Consider the following 18489-nt stretch of genomic DNA (forward strand, 5'->3'; position numbering starts at 1 on the left):
GAAGGCTTTATGGAAATAAAATGAAATATAAAGACATCAGCCTGGCAATAGTCAAGTTAGAATAAGTGGTGCGCTCTGGAAGTGTGAAAAGACCTTTGGAATATCTCTTTATAGTCTGGTCAGCCTGAAAGTCCACCATTTGATTGCTCTTTTTCAGATAGGCATTGCCCTCTCTGTATCGTCCCATACAGAGAAAGATGCTTGCAGAGGGTAAAACGTGGCATCCCTGAGGCAGTGGGATAAAGAGTTTGTCAGGGAAATCAGACACCCCAGAAGAAGTGGTGACCAGAAGACCCTCATCCATTCGGCTGCGATATTTGAGCAATCTCCGATTGATTCCCATCTTCAGTTTCTCCAGCACTCTTTTCTATCCTCTGTCCATCTTGCACACACCTGCCTCATGATCTTTCTAAAATACAAAACCCATCTTGTCTTCACCCCACTTAAATATCTGGTGGGGCTCCCCAGTGCCTGTGTGGTCAAGTCTGGCCACTTTAGCATGGCATTTAAGGCCCGTCATAAACCATATGAGTTTTCTCTGGAGCCTGGCTATCCTCCACTCTCCTCCTGGGCCTCCACCCAATCCCAGGGTCTCCCCAGCCTGCCAAACTCATTCCTTCTCCATAGCCTTGCACTAGGTGACTTCCTCCAGCTTTATCTTTCTCCCTCTTCTTTGCCCAGGGGGCTCCCTGTTTACCCAACAAGTCTAAGTTCAAATGGCGTCTCCTTATTAAAGCCTTTCCAGGCATCTAAGTCATCTCTCTGTGTTCCTGGGGGCCGCTCTTTGAATTTCTGCACCATCCCATATCCCACTGCATTGAAATAATTTGCTTTCGTTTCTGGTTTCCCCAGGAGATTGAATCTCCTAGAAGACACACAGAGGACAGAACTAATGGTACACGTTTCTGTATATGTGCAGTGTTTGACATAATATCAGAGCTCAATAAATGGAGAGAGAAAGAAGGGAGAAAGAAACAGAGGGACACAGCAAGAGATAGAAGAAAGGAAGTGCAGAAAGAGCAGGAAACATCTAGAACTGCATTGCATTGTCCACGGCATAATTTTATGATTATTTAACCCAGCCACTCACTTAGATGTAAGATTTGGCTGAATTCATTTTAACACTCCTTCAGTTTAAGCAAATTGGCCAGGCTACACAATGCAACCAATGTTTAAGAGCCTATGCTTTGGAAATTTGGACGCAAATTCCCCACTGGGGAAGTCACTTCCCCTCTCTGGGCCTTAGCTCTCTTATCAGTAAAATGGGAACAAGATGACCTTGAGGAGCAAACAAGGTGAAATACTTAAAGTGCCTTGCCCAGTGCCTAATACGTAGTAAGTGATCGATAAAATCTAATATATATGAGAGTCTTAGCTTGGGAATTCTGCTGTCTTCTCAGGCCATCTGAGGTTCTTTCTCCCTCCTATTACTGGCCTCTGCTGCCCGGGCTCTGCCCTATAATCTGAATTGTTTGCTCTTCCTGCTGCCAGGATAGACAACCCAGGGAGTAGTCCTTGCATCCATGCCAACAGTTACTGGCATTTTGGTTACTGGGAATGATGTCACTCCTGTGTCTTGGCTCCTTAAAGGATCTGATGCATGCCACACACATATGCAAATAAAAGAAAGTTTCCTGGTTATATCCTCTACTTGGGAGCAGAAGTGGTGGCAAAAATTTGCAGGTCTGAGATCATATGTCTGAGTTCCTCTGCTGTGGTTTTCCAGACAGTGAAGAACCTGGAGGAACTGCTGAGGCCACACAGTGGGGCTTTTCCATTAACGTAAACCTCTGCACAACTTGAATTCTTTTTCTCACGTCCCTAGGACCTTGTGTTCTTGTTTGGAGCAGAAGTCACCACTCCCTGGCCAGACAGTGCCTGTTCATGTAAACATGGATGCAGTGGTCAAAGAATTCCGTGTTGGAATTTCTCCTTAGGAAATCACTGCAGACAAGAGAATGTTCTTAAGGTCCACAGAAGATGGCTTCAAGGTTGGCTAGGGCATCACCCGAGTCTTTCTCCAAGGGGATGAACTGGGTGCTAGTGGTATTGAGAACTTACCTGAGGCCTTTCTATTGGAATAGTCTGTGGATGTGTTTGAGTCAAATACATTTTACTATTGACAAACTTTGGTCAGGAACCAGAGAGTCTCCCTTTTCTTGACAACTCACGGTATTGGCAGAGTTCTTCCTTCTTCTCATCCTCCTTTTCCAAATACTTCCAGATCCATGATTTACTGGAGATCCTTCTTTGGGGTTTGAGACTTTTTAAAGTCTCCATTTGATCGACTTGAAAAAGATGGCACTGAAAGGTTAACATTAAGTGTCATAATTGCATGATGTGCTACCCAGATCCATTTCAGGACTGAAGGACTTATTCTCCCCAGCTTCTAGGGGTGTTGCCAGCTGAATGCTTTTAGCTCCCAGCCCTCTGTAGGTATTGACCTCAGCTGGAAAGATCCCTCTCACTCAATATTCCATCTTCCTCCAAGGTCAGCCCACATCCAAAGATTGGTGTGGCAAGAGAATTAAGGCATATCACCCTGTCCCCAGCTGAAGGGTCATCCCATTTTCAGAACCCCCATGGGGTCGGTTGAGGCCTTTGCTGAGACTGCATCACAGCTCAACTTCTCCTTCCACCCAATCCTGATTTTTTTCCCCTCCCTTCTAGCTCGAATATATGTCCTGCACATTAATCTTTACCCCAGAATGTTTCCTAGAGAATCTGCAACCTCAAGGTCAGACAAGGTGAAAGGGGCCAATGTGAGTCTGGAGTACAAACATCAAGACTTCTGCTCAAGACATCCATGGCCAGTTCCTGAGTGCTTACTAGGTACCAGGCACTGAACCAGGAGCTGTAGATGAGGTGATGAACAAAGCTCATGGGACCTGCTCTCATGGGACCATATTTAGAATGCAACAGACACTGAATTTATAATTATTTACAGGGGTGATGAGTAGTAAGAAGAGAAGGTAGAGGATGCTAGAGAAGTAAATAACGGGTATCACACCAATCTGGGGGATAATATAAGGCTTCCTGGAGGCAGTGACGGTTGGATTAGGACCAAAGGATGATGAGGACAAGTTAGCCAGGCAAAGATAAGGGAGGGAAAGACAGTAGCTAAGAACAAGTAGAGTTTGGAGGATGTATGCCATGACAATATAATTCACAGGACTCTGGGAGAGGGGGGGAGCATGGTATAAAAGGAGTCTGGGTGCATGAGGCAGTGGCTTGGACCACTTGGATAATCCGGAAAGCTCTGGATCACATTTACTGCTTCACTCAAAGATAGGTAGAATCTATTTCTCCTCACTCTGAATCTAGCTGGGCTTGTGACTTCCTTGACCAATAGGCTATAGCAGAAGTGATGCTATGCCAGTTCTTGGCCTAGGCTCTAACAGGCGTGGTGATAGCAACCTTCACTTTGGAAGCCTGCCATCAGGTTGTAAAGAAGCTCACATTACTACTGAATAATGAAACATCCCACGGAGGACAAAAGACCACATGGAGAAACACTGAGCTTCCCTGCATCTGAGGAAGCCCACGTGGACCTTCCAGCTCAGCCCAGCAAACAGCTAAATGCAGTAAGTGAACCCAAACAATGCCCCTAAACTGGGGCCAAAGAACCACCCAGCTATGCCTAGCCTGGATTCTTGACCCACAGGATTGTGGAAAATGATAAATCATTTTTGTTTTGAACCGTGAAGTTTTGAGTTGGTCTGTTACACAGCAATAGCTAACTGAAACATTCTCCCTCAGGAAAAGAAAATCCCTCATACACATCTATCTTTAACAGCTCACAATTACTGAGTGCCAACAATGTACCAGACTTTGTGCTATGGGAGTTTTATATTTTATTTCATTGAAATCTCACCAAAAACCTGATGAAGTAGGCATTTATGTCCATTTTAGATGAGAAAAAAAAAAGAGGTTCAGAATAAATGTGACTTGCTCAAGTCACTCAGCTAGTGAAGTGGTGAAATATGGATTTGAACCCAGAACCCAGGTGGTGTTTTTTTGTTTCATTTTTTGTTGTTGTTGTGGTTTTTTTGTTTTTTTTGTTTGTTTGTTTTTGAGAGAGTGTCTCTCTCTGTCACCCAGGCTGGAGTGCAGTGGCACGGTCTCGGCTCACTTCAACCTTCAAGCGATTCTCCTGCCTCCTGAATAGCTGGGACTGCAGATGAGCACCACCATACCCGGCTAATCTGTGTATTTTTAGTACAGATGGGGTTTTGTCATGTTGGCCAGGCTGGTCTTGAACTCCTGACCTCAGATGATCTGCCCGCCTCAGCCTCCCAAAGTGCTGGGATTACAGGCGTGAACCTACTGACTTTTCTTGCATGGGCTTGGGGAGTTAGGTCAAGGAGACCTGGGCCAAACACTGGATCTATGGGAAGATTAGTCTGTGGATGGCAGATACCACTGAGCTAAGGCTTGTACTTTTCGGACAGTAATTCCTGCATCTCAGGTACTGCCATGGCTATCCAATGCCTCCTAGGATGCCTGGTTCCTCAGTCAGTAAGATTTGTCACACAGAGGTCAGGGCAGGGAGAGACCAAACCCAAACCGCAGTTCGTAGAGCTGGTTGTTAGCCCCAGTTTTGCCTCTAACTTGCCAGACTTGGGTCATGTCTTCCCGACCCTGTACTCCTATTTCTCCATCTGCAAAATGAGAGCAGTGTTTTCCTGGCATTTCCAGATTCTTCTTATCAGCAAACCACCAAATCTGTTACACACTCAGTTTGTTCATCGTCTTACATTTGTAGACTTGTCCAAAGATAAAAAATTTATTACCTTGGGGATTTAAACATTCTAGTGGTAGATTTTTTTTGGATGCGCCTGAAAACGAATTTTAAAAATGCCTGTATGTTACCACCTGCAATCACCCCACGTGCTGCTGTGATGTGGATACTACCTTGGTAGACCTGGACCCAGGTGGTCTAGGTGGGCCTGTTGTTCTGGTAGAGGGCCTAAGTCTTGGGCAGAAAAATGGGTTTCAAGCCTGGGTCCCGCTAACCTGGCCAAATGACACCTCTTAAACCAGACTTTGAGGAAATGAGACACAAACCACCCAGCAGCCTTGTTCTTCAACTACAATTACCCCATTAACAGCAAAACTATCTCATTCTGGATTTTCTCCATCTCTGAGCAGCCAAGCTTCAGACAAGGGGCTCACATTGGCCCCTTTCACTTTGTCTGTCTTGGCAGTTGCAGACTCTCTAGGAGCCAGGTTCTTGGGTGAGGATTAATATGCTGGGCATATATTGGAGCTAGAAGGGAAGGAAAAGAATGAGGATTGGGTGGAAAGAAAAGTTCAGCTGTGATGTAGTCTCAGCAAAGGTTCAACTGACCCCACGGGGGTTCTGAAAATGGGATGACCCTTCAGCTGGGGACAGGGTGATATGCCTTAATTCTCTTGCCACACCAATCTTTGGATGTGGGCTGTCCTTGGAGGAAGATGTGATATTGAGTGAGGGGGGATCTTTTCAGCTGAGGGCAATACCTACAGAGGGCTGGGAGCTAAAAGCATTCACCTGGCAACACCCCTAGAAGCTGGGGAGAATAAGTCCTTGAACCAAGGCACTTTTCAGGCTCTTTGCAACCAACCCAGCCTCGCCTTTTTCTCCAGGTGGGCAGGGAAACTGGAGGCTTCTCATGCCACACAGCAGCCCCTCATTACAGAATGAGAGCTTCCACAAGTCAAGCCCCTCATTACAGAATGAGAGCCTCCACAAGTCAGGCTCAGGAGAAAGACACTAGGCAGGGAGGAAAAACCAAGCTGAGAAAAGGGAGTTCAGTTCCTCAATACTGGATGGTGAGAACTTCCTCCTCATCTTTCCTTCTAGAGAAATTTGGTATTTTAAGAGCCCCTTGTCTGAGGCTTGGCTGCCAGGAGATGGAGAAGATCCAGAATGAGATTGTTCTGCTGTTAATGGAGTAACTGCAGCTGAAGAACGAGGCTGCTGGGTGGTTTGTGTTTCATTTCCTCAAACTCTGGCTGGGTCACTGGCGTGTTACATTAAGTTTCAGAGCTAGCTGTGTAGAGTAGAAAGAGTACTGGATGGAGAGAGAATAATAGTGCATAACAACAACACCCGTCACCATCACCACCACCACCATCATCATCATCAGTAACATTCACTGAATGTCTACATTCTTGACATGGCTTAACTTACCTGATTGAAACTCTCAACAACCCCTTATGAGATAGGTTCACTCTTCCCCCGTTTTACAGATAAATAAAGGGGTATAAAGAGGTTAAGTCAGTTGATCAAGATTTTACACCTGGTAAATGCAGGTATGAGATATAGCTGCAAGATGCAACACTGAACTTGTTCCTTCCTTCTCTCTGGGCCTTGGGGATCCATTCTGTAAAATGAGGGTTTGAGCAGATGGATGGTGGCTTAACAATTTTATTTTTAAAAAATCATGGGCCATTTCTTCAAATGAAGCTGATCAGAAAGTGTAAGATATAAACAAGAACCAAGTGAGATTGCCCTGTTGATGTAAAGTGAAGGTATTTAGAATTCATTTACAAACCGGAGGGAAAAGAGCTTCTCTTAAGGTGCTTTCTAACTTTGTTGTTTCATGTTTCTGAAAATCAAATTTGTGGAAAGCTCAGAGTCTCTGTGGATGGGTTAAGGTGTAGTTCTTGATGCTGCAGTTCAAGGTAGCAAAGGTCCTTGATTGGAGACTTTCCACCATTCATCCCCCTCACATGTCAGGCTCTTATCGAACTGAGTACCTAGCCTGATGAAGAGCAGAGGGATAAAAGGAAGAAGAGATGTTCTTTCTTCCTTTTAGATTTTTGTAACTTTTGGGGAAAAGGGAGTGGAGAGGGAGAGACAAGTTCATGGGTCATTACAATGTTGAGTGATAAGTATTTTAACATAAATAAGTACAGAGCACTGAGAGAAGGGGCTTTTAATTCATACTCAGGATAGGAAGGCTTTCTGGCATGAAAAACGGTTAATAGAAAGAGCTAAAGGGAGTGGGGGACATGGGGCGAGGAAAACATTTCAGGGAGTGGGAGACGCGTGTGCAAAGCCACAGAAGAGCGAGTCATTGAGAAACTGTAAGCTGTGTAGTGTTACTGGGATGCAGTCATGGCCAAAGGCATTAGCAATTGACGGCTATCTATTTTATGGCCTTCTCCCTCTGCTCCCACCATCCTATCCTCTTCTCAATGCTCTATTCTGCCTCAGCACAATGAGGAGTACAAGGGGCAAAAGGTTGATATTTGGCAAGTACTTGGTTCTTGGTTAAATCCATCATAAGAACCCACACATACTTAGGTTTTCCAAGAAACTCAGCTCTTGCCTTCTTAATACAAACAGGAAACAGAAAACTGCTACCCATACTCAGTGGTAACCTGGACATTTCCAGATTGAGTAAATAAGATGACATCATGGGAGGAGAAGACATAAGAAAGCGTGGTGTGTTTCACTGCAATGAAAAGCAGCCTTCTAGGGGGAAGCTGGTCCGCACCCCTCAAACCCGTTCTCCCCCATTTCTCTCCCTAGTGTCTGATTCTTTCTGTTGCCTCTGTGACTCACTATTTCACAAGGTGGTTTACTTGTATTCCCTCTCCGGTGATGCATCATTACCAGAAAATAGGTCTCATAGCGCAGGGTGAGAAACCAAAAGGCAAGGGGTAAGAGAGAGTGGTTGCCTAATGGGTGCCTCATGAAAAACTGGTTGTGAAATCTGAGTTCACAACCCCACCTGCAATGCCCTGGATGTCTGATCATAGAGGCCTGGCCCTGTGTGCCAAGAGTGAGAGCCCATAGTTTGATGTCACAGAAAGCTGGGTTACCACAAACTTTATTTTGTCTGATATTCATATTACAAAACCAGCTTCCTTTTGATTCGTATTTATTTAGAATTTTTAATCTTTAATTTTCAACTTTCTATTAATTTATGTATGCCTCAGGAAAAGCACATGGTTGATTTAAAAAAAAATCATTCCCAATTCTCTGTCTTTTAACTGAAGAGTTTAATCCCATTATGATTAATGTGATTCCAGACTAGTGTGGATTTATTTCTACCTTCTGATTATGAGGTTTCAACTTACATTTATTTTTTAAGACTGTATTTATTTTTAAAGCAGTTTTAGGTTCCCAGGAAAATTGAGGAAAAGGCAGAGAAATATCCCATACACCCTCTGCCCCGACGTGCGCAGCCTCCTCCATCATCAACACCCCCTCCCACCGCCAGAGTGCTACCTTTGCTGCCACTGGTGAACCCACATTGACACGTCATTATCTTCCAACTCCAAAACCTACAGAATGTACAACACCAAGAGTGAACATCAGAGTTCACTGTAGGTTTCAATAAATGTATAATGACATGTACCCACCATTACAGTATAACACAGAATAGTTTCATTGCCCTAAAAATCCTCTGTGCTCTGCCTCTTCATTCCTCCCTCCCCTTTAATTCTTTACAACCACTGATCTTTTTACTGTTGCCATAGTTTTGCCTTTTTGAGAATGTCATGTAGTTGGAACCATATAGTGTGAGCCTTTTCAATTGGCTTCTTTCACTTAATAATATGCATTTGAATTTCCTCCATGTCTTTTCAAGGCTTGATAGCTCATTTCCTTGCAGTGCTGAATAACCCTGTATTCCATTGTCTGGATGTACGATGCTTTGTTTATTCATTCACCTACTGAGGAACATCTTGGTTGCTTTCAACTTTCGGCATTTATGAATAAAGCTGCTGTAAACATCTGTGTGCAGGTTTTTGTGTGCATATAAGATTTCAACTCCTTTAGGTAAATACCAAGGAGTGTGGTCGCTGAATCATATGGTAAGAGTATGTTTAGTTTTGTAATAAACTGCCAAACTGTCTTCCAAAATGGCTGTGCCATTTTGCATTTTCATTAGCAATTTCTACTTAATCACATTTTCATCTTTTTTCTTTTTGTCTTTGCTTTTTTCTTCCTCCTTTTCTCTTTTGTATTAGGTGGAGAGAATTTTTTTTTACCTTTTCCTTCCCACCCACCTTTTCTTCTCTCCTTCTTCAGAAGTTATTGGTTCTATTTCTATTTTCTAAATAGGCACATTTGATTCTTACCATGCTTATGGTTAATCACTGTAATCAATGTAATAATCCATATAGCCCTTCCTGAGCAAAATGAGGTCCTCAGAACACTTAACCTCCAAACTTTCCCCCTTTCTAGCATTTATATTCTTTTTGTCTACCCACACTAGAGCCCCAACTCCAGCCCCTTCCTCTCTGTATTATGTTGTAAGTAATGTCACCTCCCTGATTCTCAGATTCTTCAACTAAAAAAGAGTAGAAGTCATAACATCTTCTTTGGAGGCTACTTGGATGGCCAGAAACAATGTACATGAGGTGAAAATGTTCCAGGCCATCCACGCATTTATTGTAAAATCTGCTAAAAGTTGAAGAAGTCAGAGAATGATTGCAGCAGGACAATAGGGAAGGACTTTTATTCTCCTTTCCTGCCCCTTCCTTATTTTGTCCTATTTGAACACGCTTTTTATTTTATAATCGATGTCTATTAGGACCTCACTTCCTGTCAAGGCGATGAAGTCTTACAAAGATCCATTTGCACTGAACTCTCCACGTGCAGGAAGTTACTGCCTTGCTCTCTGGACCTCCTGTCTCTTTTCTCTGAATCTTCATTCCCTCCTGTTCCTCTGTCTCTGACCCTGTCTCCATGTCTGTCTCTTCCACTGCCTGGCTCCTTCCTCTTCTTCACTTGCTTCTGACAGTCAGGGTTTCTGCCTCGCCCCGTCTTTCTCTCTGTCCCTCCACGTCTTTGTTTTTCTCATCTCCGCTTCTCTCTCCCTCCGTGTCCAGGTCTCTTCCTGTCCATCCATCTCTCAGCCTCAGCCTAGCTCGGTCCTCCACTCTGATTCTCTCCCATCCATCTCCCTGGGCCTGACAGAGGCTCTTTGTCGAGTCTCTTCCTCTGTCTGCCCCCATCCGTTGTTTTCTCTGTATGTCGCTGGCTGCGCATGTGCCACTGTTTCTATCATTTTCTCTCCATCTAGCCATTGATCTCTGATTCCCCTGCTCCGCTTCTCTGTCTCTCATCCCTGTCACCACCTCCCTCTCTGTCACTTTCTTATTCTCTCCCTGCCTCTTTGCACGCTCTTTGCACATCAGGCCCGGCCCCAGCCCAGGGTCTCTGGGCTCCAGGAAGCCAGCCAGGGGCTGTGCGGGCTGCGCTGTAACTCAGGAACTCCGCCAGCAATCATTTCATTAGGCAGGAATGGCGTTCCCATTACCAGATAGCAGGCCTGCTTCTTCCCCGCCATGGCCCCCTCCCCGCTGCAAAGCCCCCTTGCAACTTCCTGCTCGCAGCAGCCACACAAGGCCTCATTCTAATCCTCCAACTTGTCTGTTTAGTGTCTTTGGAGAGGGGAAAGGAGCAGAAAAGTAGCTTGTCTTTTATTTTTATTTGCCTTCTTTTTTTTCCTTCCTCCAGATATCCCCCTGGGGCACCGGCCTAGAACAGAGCAACAAATATTTACTAATTCCATTAACAGAAGAGAGTTGGAATTTTTTTTTCCCAAGCGAATATCCGAGGCCCCAAGTTCATGGTGAGCCCTCTCCCCCGCATGGCCCCCTCTCCCCCCACCTCCTCCCTACACGCCCAGGACTTATATATAGTTCACTCAGTGCCATTTCCCCAATTTTTTTCTGAAGTTCAAGACAAGTTGAAGGGTCAAAAAGGCAAAGGGTGTTTTAGAAGTTTAGCAGACAGCTTTTGGTACAAGGAAAAGAGAGGGAGAGCTGGAGAGAGGGAAACAGGGTGAAGAGGCAGGAATCTGGCTCGCATTAAGCTGGGAGGTTCCAACCATTGATTCGCTCTGGAATTATGGCTTAAAAAAATTGCAAGACATGGTTTATTCATGAGGGTTCTTTTTTTTTCTTAAGTAGCCACCCAAAGTTACACTTTGGTTCACCAAGACGAAGACTCATCCTTCCTCTCTCTATGGATCTTTCAGGTAGGACTGGGAGTAAAGGGAGGGAGGATGGGAGACGATAGATTTTCAAGACAGTGAGTTCTGAGAACATAGAAGCATCTTCTGGCCAGGCCTATTCAATGTCTTTACCTTCCCTGCTTCTTAGGATAAACCAATGACAATTCTTTGCAAGGGGAAGGGAGATCTCTTATGGGAAGGGGGAACTTCTTCTGAAAGGGCAACTCCTGACCTCTGGTAAAAGAGGACGTAGAGGAAAAAATACGGGATTAGGCTGATGAATGCTACATTGGAAACAGGTTTAGTGATTGCATTCATCTCCTAGAGCTGCCCCCAACAAATGACCACCAACAGGTGGCTTAAAATGAGAGAAATGTATTCTTCCACAGTCCTAGAGGCCAGAAGTCTAGAATCAAGGTGTCATCAAAGCCACACTCCCTCCGAAGGCTCCAGGGAGGAATCCTTCCTTGCTTCTTCCAGCTTCTGATGGCCCCAGGCATTCTTGGCTCATGCCTGCATCACTCCAATCTCTGTTCCCATGTTCACATGGCTTTCTCGATATGTATCAAATCTCCCTCTCCTTTCTCTGATAGGGACACTTGTCCTTGGGCTTAGGGTCCACCCTAAATTAAGGATGATCTCATCCTAAGATTCTTACATCTGCAAAGACCCTATTTCCAAATAAAGCCACATTCACAGTTACGTGGTGGGGGATGTTAGGACTTGGGCTTAGGTATTTGGGAGACACCATTAAACCTACTACAGTGATCATAGAGTGCTTCTCAACAATGCCACATGTGGAAGTCAATTAAAAGCAACCTGGAGCAACACAGCTGGAGAAACGCTTGGTGCTGAGTTCTTTCTCTTCTCTTTCCATCCTGCCTATTACAAGGAAAAAGCCTTAGCTGGGTGCTAGGGTCCTTGAACACTTTCTTACCCCCTTGTGACTCCTCCTTTTTAAGAAAAAGAGATGACATCCCTGGAAGTCAACCTTCAGCAGGTTAAATAAATCCAGTATTTATTATACACTTGATTCACATGACCTTCTATTTATGAAAATAGATACTGGTCTTCCCCTGATGTCATGACATGTAGCTTCCTTTTGGATTAAATTAAATTTGAGCAATTGATAAGCAATTGAGTTGAGAAAAATATTAAGTAGATAAATAATGGAAGTAGTACATAACCATGGCAAGTGTGCGTTTGCTGCACAGGTTAAGGAAAATTGGGAAATACTGAAGCGGCATGCTGGTTTTCCACAACAGCCCAACACCTGTGAGGTTTACCAGCACGAGGGGGGTTAAGACAGGTTCAGTCCGCTGGAGTCTGCTGTTTCTCCTTGAACCTGAGCCACTGTTTCTCATGGTTATATGCATTGGGTTTCCCCATGAGATTTTATTTGGGGGTGGGAAAAACCCCCAAAGTTCCATAACTAAAAGAAAGCTTAACACATCAACCTTCTCTGTCATTTCACTTCTGTTTTACAGATGAAGAAATTAAGGCTCAGGAGGGAGGAAAAAAATAAAAGAAAGAATTGTCCAAGGTCACCAAGGCATCTGGACTCCCATATGTTGAGCTACTTCTGCTTGTGGGGCAGCTGCAATACATGAATTCTTCACTACGTGAGTTATTGTATTAAGTCCTCAGAACAGCACTGTGAAGTTGCTGGAATTTTACAGGGGAGGAAACTGAGGCGCAGAGAGGTTAGGAGCTCATCTGAAATGGCTGAGCTGATAAGGAGAGGAGCTGGGATTCCCACCCATATCTGACTGTCTTTCCATCTGGTGTATTTACTACAGCAGCCTATTGTCTTCTCTCACTGCATGCACACACACACACACACACACACACACACACACACACACACACACACAAGGTTTTTGCACCAAAGCATTTGGCTGAGGACATGCTAAGTCCTGGTTGTTTTTGCAGGCTCTGTATTCACACACCTTGTCCACATGACACTTCTCTGTTGGATCTACTTGGAAGTTCTTGCAGGTGACAGCATATTTCTGGCTTATTCTCAAGGGTATTAAGTGTAAGAGAGACTTTCCTTCTTGGAGAAAGAAGAGGCACTGTGTGTAAAGAGAGAGATTTTGAGCCTAAGGGTGTCAAGTTATTGCTTTCTACTCTGGAAATTTCTAGACATTGGAAGATAATGAAATGAAGCCAATTATCTGGCTTTTTTATTTTAAACAACCAGATGTTGAGCCCTGACACCATGATCACAGGAGTGACCTGCCTCTGATGTGTTAGCTGCTGAGAGTCTACACTGATGATGCTGTTGTATTGTTAGTTCCCTGGCGCAGGCGCTTCCAGAAACTAATGTGAGCCATGAACCTCCTATCCCCATAGCTAAATGCCCACACACAACATTTTTCATACAACTCCTTGGATTTTATATACTCTTGGAAGCTCTTCTCTGAGTTCTGGTGTAAGATTCTCTTATTTACTAATCAGCTTGGGGACACTCCTGGATATTCCCATGGGTGACTACTTCAACTCACAGATGGAGAAACTGAGACCTGAGGGCAGAAGAACTCCCCCAAGTCCCAGGGATAGTTAGGACTGGAGGGTTTGGGTGCTATCTATGCCTTCTCACTATACCTACGGCTCACTGCCTCTTCTCACTGCCTTTCTCTGTGAAAGCTTAAGACATTTCTGAGTAGACATAGGCAGTCTGGGAGAACAGGACATTGGGAACCCAAAGAGTAGAGAATAAAGGATTCTGCACCAATCTCGTAGGTTTGAATCCAAGCTTCACCACTTACCTAAAGTCTTGGGCGAGACATTGAACCTTTCTGTTCCACAATTTTCTCATCAGTAAAATGGGGATTATATTAGCATCTACATCACAGAGTCATGCTGAAGGTTAAAATAGGACCCACATAAAGTTTTGAAAGAACACCTAGCACACAGTACACATTCAATGAATAGTTATTCCTATTATCATCATTATTAGGATCATGATTAGATGTAGAGGGAAAAACGCCTCTTGTGATGTGGCACAGACTCCATAGACAGGCTCATATGCGTCCTCTCCCACTCCAACTCAGCCAAGAAACATTTCACTCCAGGCACAAACTGATTTTGGTATTGGGATGGTAAGATTCAGAGGTGCTTGGAGCCTAACTGGCTTAATCCATAATTTTTAGGCAGAGAAACAAATGTGTAGAGAAATCGAGGGATTTTTCTGAAGCTCCCAGAGCTATCTAGAAGCACAACTAGGTCTCCAGAACTTTCAACCTGGAGCTGGGACTCCATTCAATAGAGCACCCTCTCCTCCCACTACTTCAGGCTCATCTCCCTCAAAATGTAGTTCTGAAAAGAAGCCACCGGCTCTGTGACACCGAAGGGGTTAACTCAGAACCCTGCAGCTGGCTGCAGTGAGCTTCCTCAGTTCTGATTTTCATTTGCAAAACAAACAAACAAGAGCCTCTCTAATAACTCCCAGGCCTCCTTCTTTGTGGCTGAGATGCAGATTTTGTAAGAAGCAAGGCTTCCAAAGATCCCTAATTCCTATGCTGTTGTTGACAAAGGACTAAAGGCTGTTTCATGGCTAGTGAAAGCTTTACACTCTCATTCATTCATTCAAATTCACTCATTCACCAAATAATTACTGAAGACCTACCTCATGCTGCAGACATGGATACAGCCACCCTCCCAGCCCTCATAGAATGGATGGTATTCTTACAGTGTTTTCAGAGCTGCACCAACAGAGGCTAGCATGAGATAGGAACATGGAGGTATTCAGCAAATAAATGCCAGTCCAAGAGGAACATGGGATCATTTGGTTCAATGGAAGTCCAGTTCTCCAGGTTGAATTTCTAGTTTCTTGCCTGGTTCAGAATCACATTGGCACCCCAGATTGGCCATTCTTCTCATCCTCTCCTCCTTTTCCTCTTTTTCCTTCTTCCTCTTGTTCATGTTGTCTATCATGAGCTAAAAAATAAATCAAGATGATATATTGGGTACCCCCCTTTTTCTAGATGGGCAGTGGAGGACAGAGAAAACAGTCTATGCAGCCAAATCTTCACAGGTAGTAAGTAGGGAAACAGGGTTTGAACCCAAGTCTGTAGGCCTCCAGATCCTAGGCTCTTCTCTTCTGGTTTATTTGTGTCATCTCCTTTCATTTGTCAGATCAAATGTAGAATAAGGGAGGTTTAAGGCCCACCGTGAGTTTCCACAACAGCTAATATTTGGAGGAATTATAAGTTCTGGAATGACAGCCACTTTAAGCTGCAATGTAAATGTTCTTCTTTAGAAACATACCTGAGGGATTGGGAAAAGCAGGTGGGAGAAATGCTAGCTATGTCCTTACATGGTAGAAGGGGTGAGAAAGGTCTCTGGAGCACTGCTGAGAGGGGCACTAATCTCATTCATAAGGGCTCCACCCTCGTGACCTAATCACTTCTCAAGGCCTTCTTTTCAAATAGCATCACATTGGGGATTAAGTTTCAACATAGGAATTTTGGAGGGGGGGACATAAGATTTCAGTCTATAGCATCAATCAAAGCTTTATCTTCTCAAATAGATATTGTCTTATGTAATCAGGTTGAATTTGATTAGTACCTCCCTGTGTCCATTGAGTCCTATGGGAAGCAGATGGTAAAATGGAGTGAGAAATACAAGACATGTCTTAGGGGGTAATGCTTGTGAAAGATAAAAGCAGAGAAAACAGGAATAGGTAAAAAGAGCCTCAGATTACAATGAAGATCCAACAAAGTCTGAACCAACTTAATGAGGACCTCTTCCAGAGCTGAGATTTCCCATTAGAGGAGTCCTGCAGTGGGCAGAACCGGCCAGGCTCTGGTACTTCTCCCATGCTCAGTGTTTGGCTGGGGGCTCCCGAAGAAAGATGTGGCTTTGATTTAAAAGCTGAAGTAGATCTCAAAGGTGCTGCGGCTGAGGGCTGTCCACTGACTTCACTCCTTGCAGCTGAATGGCAAGTTATTTCTTGAAAGGAGACCTGAGTGTCACATCTTCATGGCTACCATACCCTTTTATACCTACTATATATGAAACACTGTATTAGGTCCTGGAAAGGGAGAAGGAAGGTAATACTTAATTCCTACCTTAAGAGAACTTACGGGCTGGGCGCGGTGACTCACGCATGTAATCCTAGCACTTTGGGAGGCTGAGGCGGGCAGATCATGAGGTCAAGAGATGGAAACCGTCCTGGCCAAAATGGTGAAACCCCATCTCCACTAAAAATACAAAAATTAGCTGGGCATGGTGGCACGCGCCTGTAGTCCCAGCTACTCGGGAGGCTGAGGCAGGAGAATCGCTTGAACCCAGGAGGTGGAGGTTGCAGTGAGCCGAGATCGCACCATTGCACTCCAGCCTGGGCGGCAGAGCCAGACTCCGTCTCAAAAAAAAAAAAAAAAAAAAGGGAGAGCTTATAGTACAGTAGGGAAGATAGTCTTCCATGTATCTCAATAGTCTCATTCCTGGATAACAAACAAAATCAAACCTAAAATGTTCTTTTGCAGATAAAATGGCCTAGAAGTAGCCATTAATTCTTATTGCAATTAATGTAAAATCCACAGCGTTTTTTTTTGTTAATAGAGAAGTAAAGTCAAGCAATAAGCCGGTGACATGTAATATAGGTCATAATTATATGCCACAGATACCTGTGAAATCTATTATTATACTAATAAATTGCAAAAATTCCTGCAAGAACGTGTTGGCAGCTGCCATGCCAATGCTTACCAGCTCATCAGTTGTTTGCAGGCTCTGCAAACATATGAATATTGGTTGAAAAAACACACTTGATATTTGCTGAAGAATGCTTATTTTCAGATTTGACACTGCATTGCAGTGTGTATACTTTATTTAAGAATATATCAAATAAAGATCTCTACCAAATAGTACCTTGATTAAAAATCTATGGTGATAATAATGAAGATTGGTATTCCAGTTATCTAATATTGCTTAATAAACCAGTCCAAGCTTAGTGCCCTAAAACAACAACTATTTCATTATGCTTATGGGTGCTGTGGATCAGGATTATGGATTAGGACAGCAGCAGGGTTGTTTTGTCTCTGCTGTATGATGACCAAGTTTCATCTGGGAAGATTCTTAAAGGCTGGGGGCTGGAAACATCTGGAGGTTCCTTCACTTATATGAGTGATGGCTGGGCTTAGCTCAGATATTGGATCAGAGAACTTACATCTGACTCCTCATTGTGGCTTGGGCTTCCCCACAGCATGGTGGCCTCATACTCTCTCCAGGAACCAGTGCTCCAGTGTTCTAGTGAACAAGGCAGAAGTTGCATGGCCTTTTATGACCTAGCCATGGAAGTCAGACAGCATCACTTCCACCATACTCTTTTGGTGAAAGAAGTCACAAACCCACCCAGAGTTCAGTGGGGAGGATACAGACGCCACCTCTTGATAGGAGGAGGGTCAAAAAAATGTGTGGCTATTTTAAAGAACTGCCACAGTTGTTGATGATAGTTATCACAAGCTATGTGCCAAGCTTGATGCTAAGCTATCGTGCATTTATTCTTCACAATATCCTTGGGAATTAGGTACTGCAATCTTCATTTTATAGAGAGCTCAGGTGACTTTCCCAGTCACACAGCTACAAAGTGGCATATCCATGATGAATTCCCAGATCTGTCAGGTTCTATAACCCTTCACACTAGTCTCAGTTTCATGCCTGGATGTCACCTCACCCTGACTCCTATTCCTGGGCTGGGGCTGGCATAGGAGGAGAAGGCAATTGAAATAAAAAAATCAAAAATGAATTCAAAGCATTTCCTGGCTCATGAAAATAATGTAAAATAATTTTATGATTGCTTTTATTCATATGCAAACTCTTAAGTTGAAAATACTATAGCAAAGTGGCCAGTGACAATGTTCCATTCATAATGTTCCATTGCCTCCTGCATTATATACGCTAACCTATGCTGCCTAGTCTTTCATGCCCATCTCTAGATGGGTGATAGTGCCTTGAAGGGGTATTAGATGCTCTTCCTTAAGGAGATGGCAGGAGAGAAAATGAGGTTCAGACCCTAACTTGCTCTCTATTGTGCCTGCATGGAATTGATCATGTGTGTCAGAACACCCTGGGACTCACTGTAACAGAGTCTGGAAGACACCTAAGCCTTGGTGGGAATGGGTCCCCTGCAGGGAAGATGAGAATGTCTCAGAGAAAGGAACCATAGCCTTGGTTTTGGTAGGTGGTCTGTGTCAGCCCAAGAGTTAGAGGGGACAGATCTGGGAGACAGAAGAGACTCAGTTAACCCCTCCCACCCCTTCCCTTATCCTGATGCCCACCTAGGCTGCACCTAAACATTTAGCATGGACATTGAAGGTGTTTCACTGTGCGTTTCTGCCACACTTCTGGGGTTTGAAGTGACTTTGGACAGCACAGTTTTCCTTTTCCACGTCCTAAGTTCATGACATCTCCTGAGATCCCAGCTGAGACTCCTCCTTCCCTACTACACTCTTGCATCCTCTGGATCCTCCTATGAGGCACCCGGTACACAGTAGGGGGCCCATTAATATTGAAAGAATTGTAC

The 18489-nt window shown here is 44.1% G+C and overlaps 1 long non-coding RNA gene across 4 annotated transcripts in view, besides 1 other annotated feature; it reads left to right on the forward strand.

Annotated features, from left to right (window-relative positions):
* Nucleotides 9721-10221: an enhancer, noted in NCBI's record as "H3K4me1 hESC enhancer chr12:115450672-115451172 (GRCh37/hg19 assembly coordinates)". NCBI's record gives its function as "activates a minimal SCP1, AML or CMV promoter by ChIP-STARR-seq in primed H9 embryonic stem cells {active_cell/tissue: H9 hESC(primed)}" and the evidence as "EXISTENCE:reporter gene assay evidence [ECO:0000049][PMID:30033119]".
* The window catches only part of LOC102723639 (uncharacterized), a 92097-nt gene continuing 83603 nt past the window's right edge, over nucleotides 9996-18489 (forward strand). Inside the window, exons 1-3 of one of the 4 annotated variants that reach the window (XR_429190.3) lie at nucleotides 9996-10577; nucleotides 10915-10985; nucleotides 12449-12583. This is a non-coding gene — a long non-coding RNA (uncharacterized LOC102723639). Of the gene's footprint in view, nucleotides 10578-10679; nucleotides 10986-12448; nucleotides 12584-18489 lie in introns of those variants that run through there. The other 3 variants (XR_001749331.2, XR_001749334.2, XR_001749332.1) reach the window with 3 other exon arrangements.

The sequence above is a fragment of the Homo sapiens genome, chromosome 12 (genome assembly GCF_000001405.40).
Source record: "Homo sapiens chromosome 12, GRCh38.p14 Primary Assembly".
NCBI classification, from domain to species: domain Eukaryota; kingdom Metazoa; phylum Chordata; class Mammalia; order Primates; family Hominidae; genus Homo; species Homo sapiens.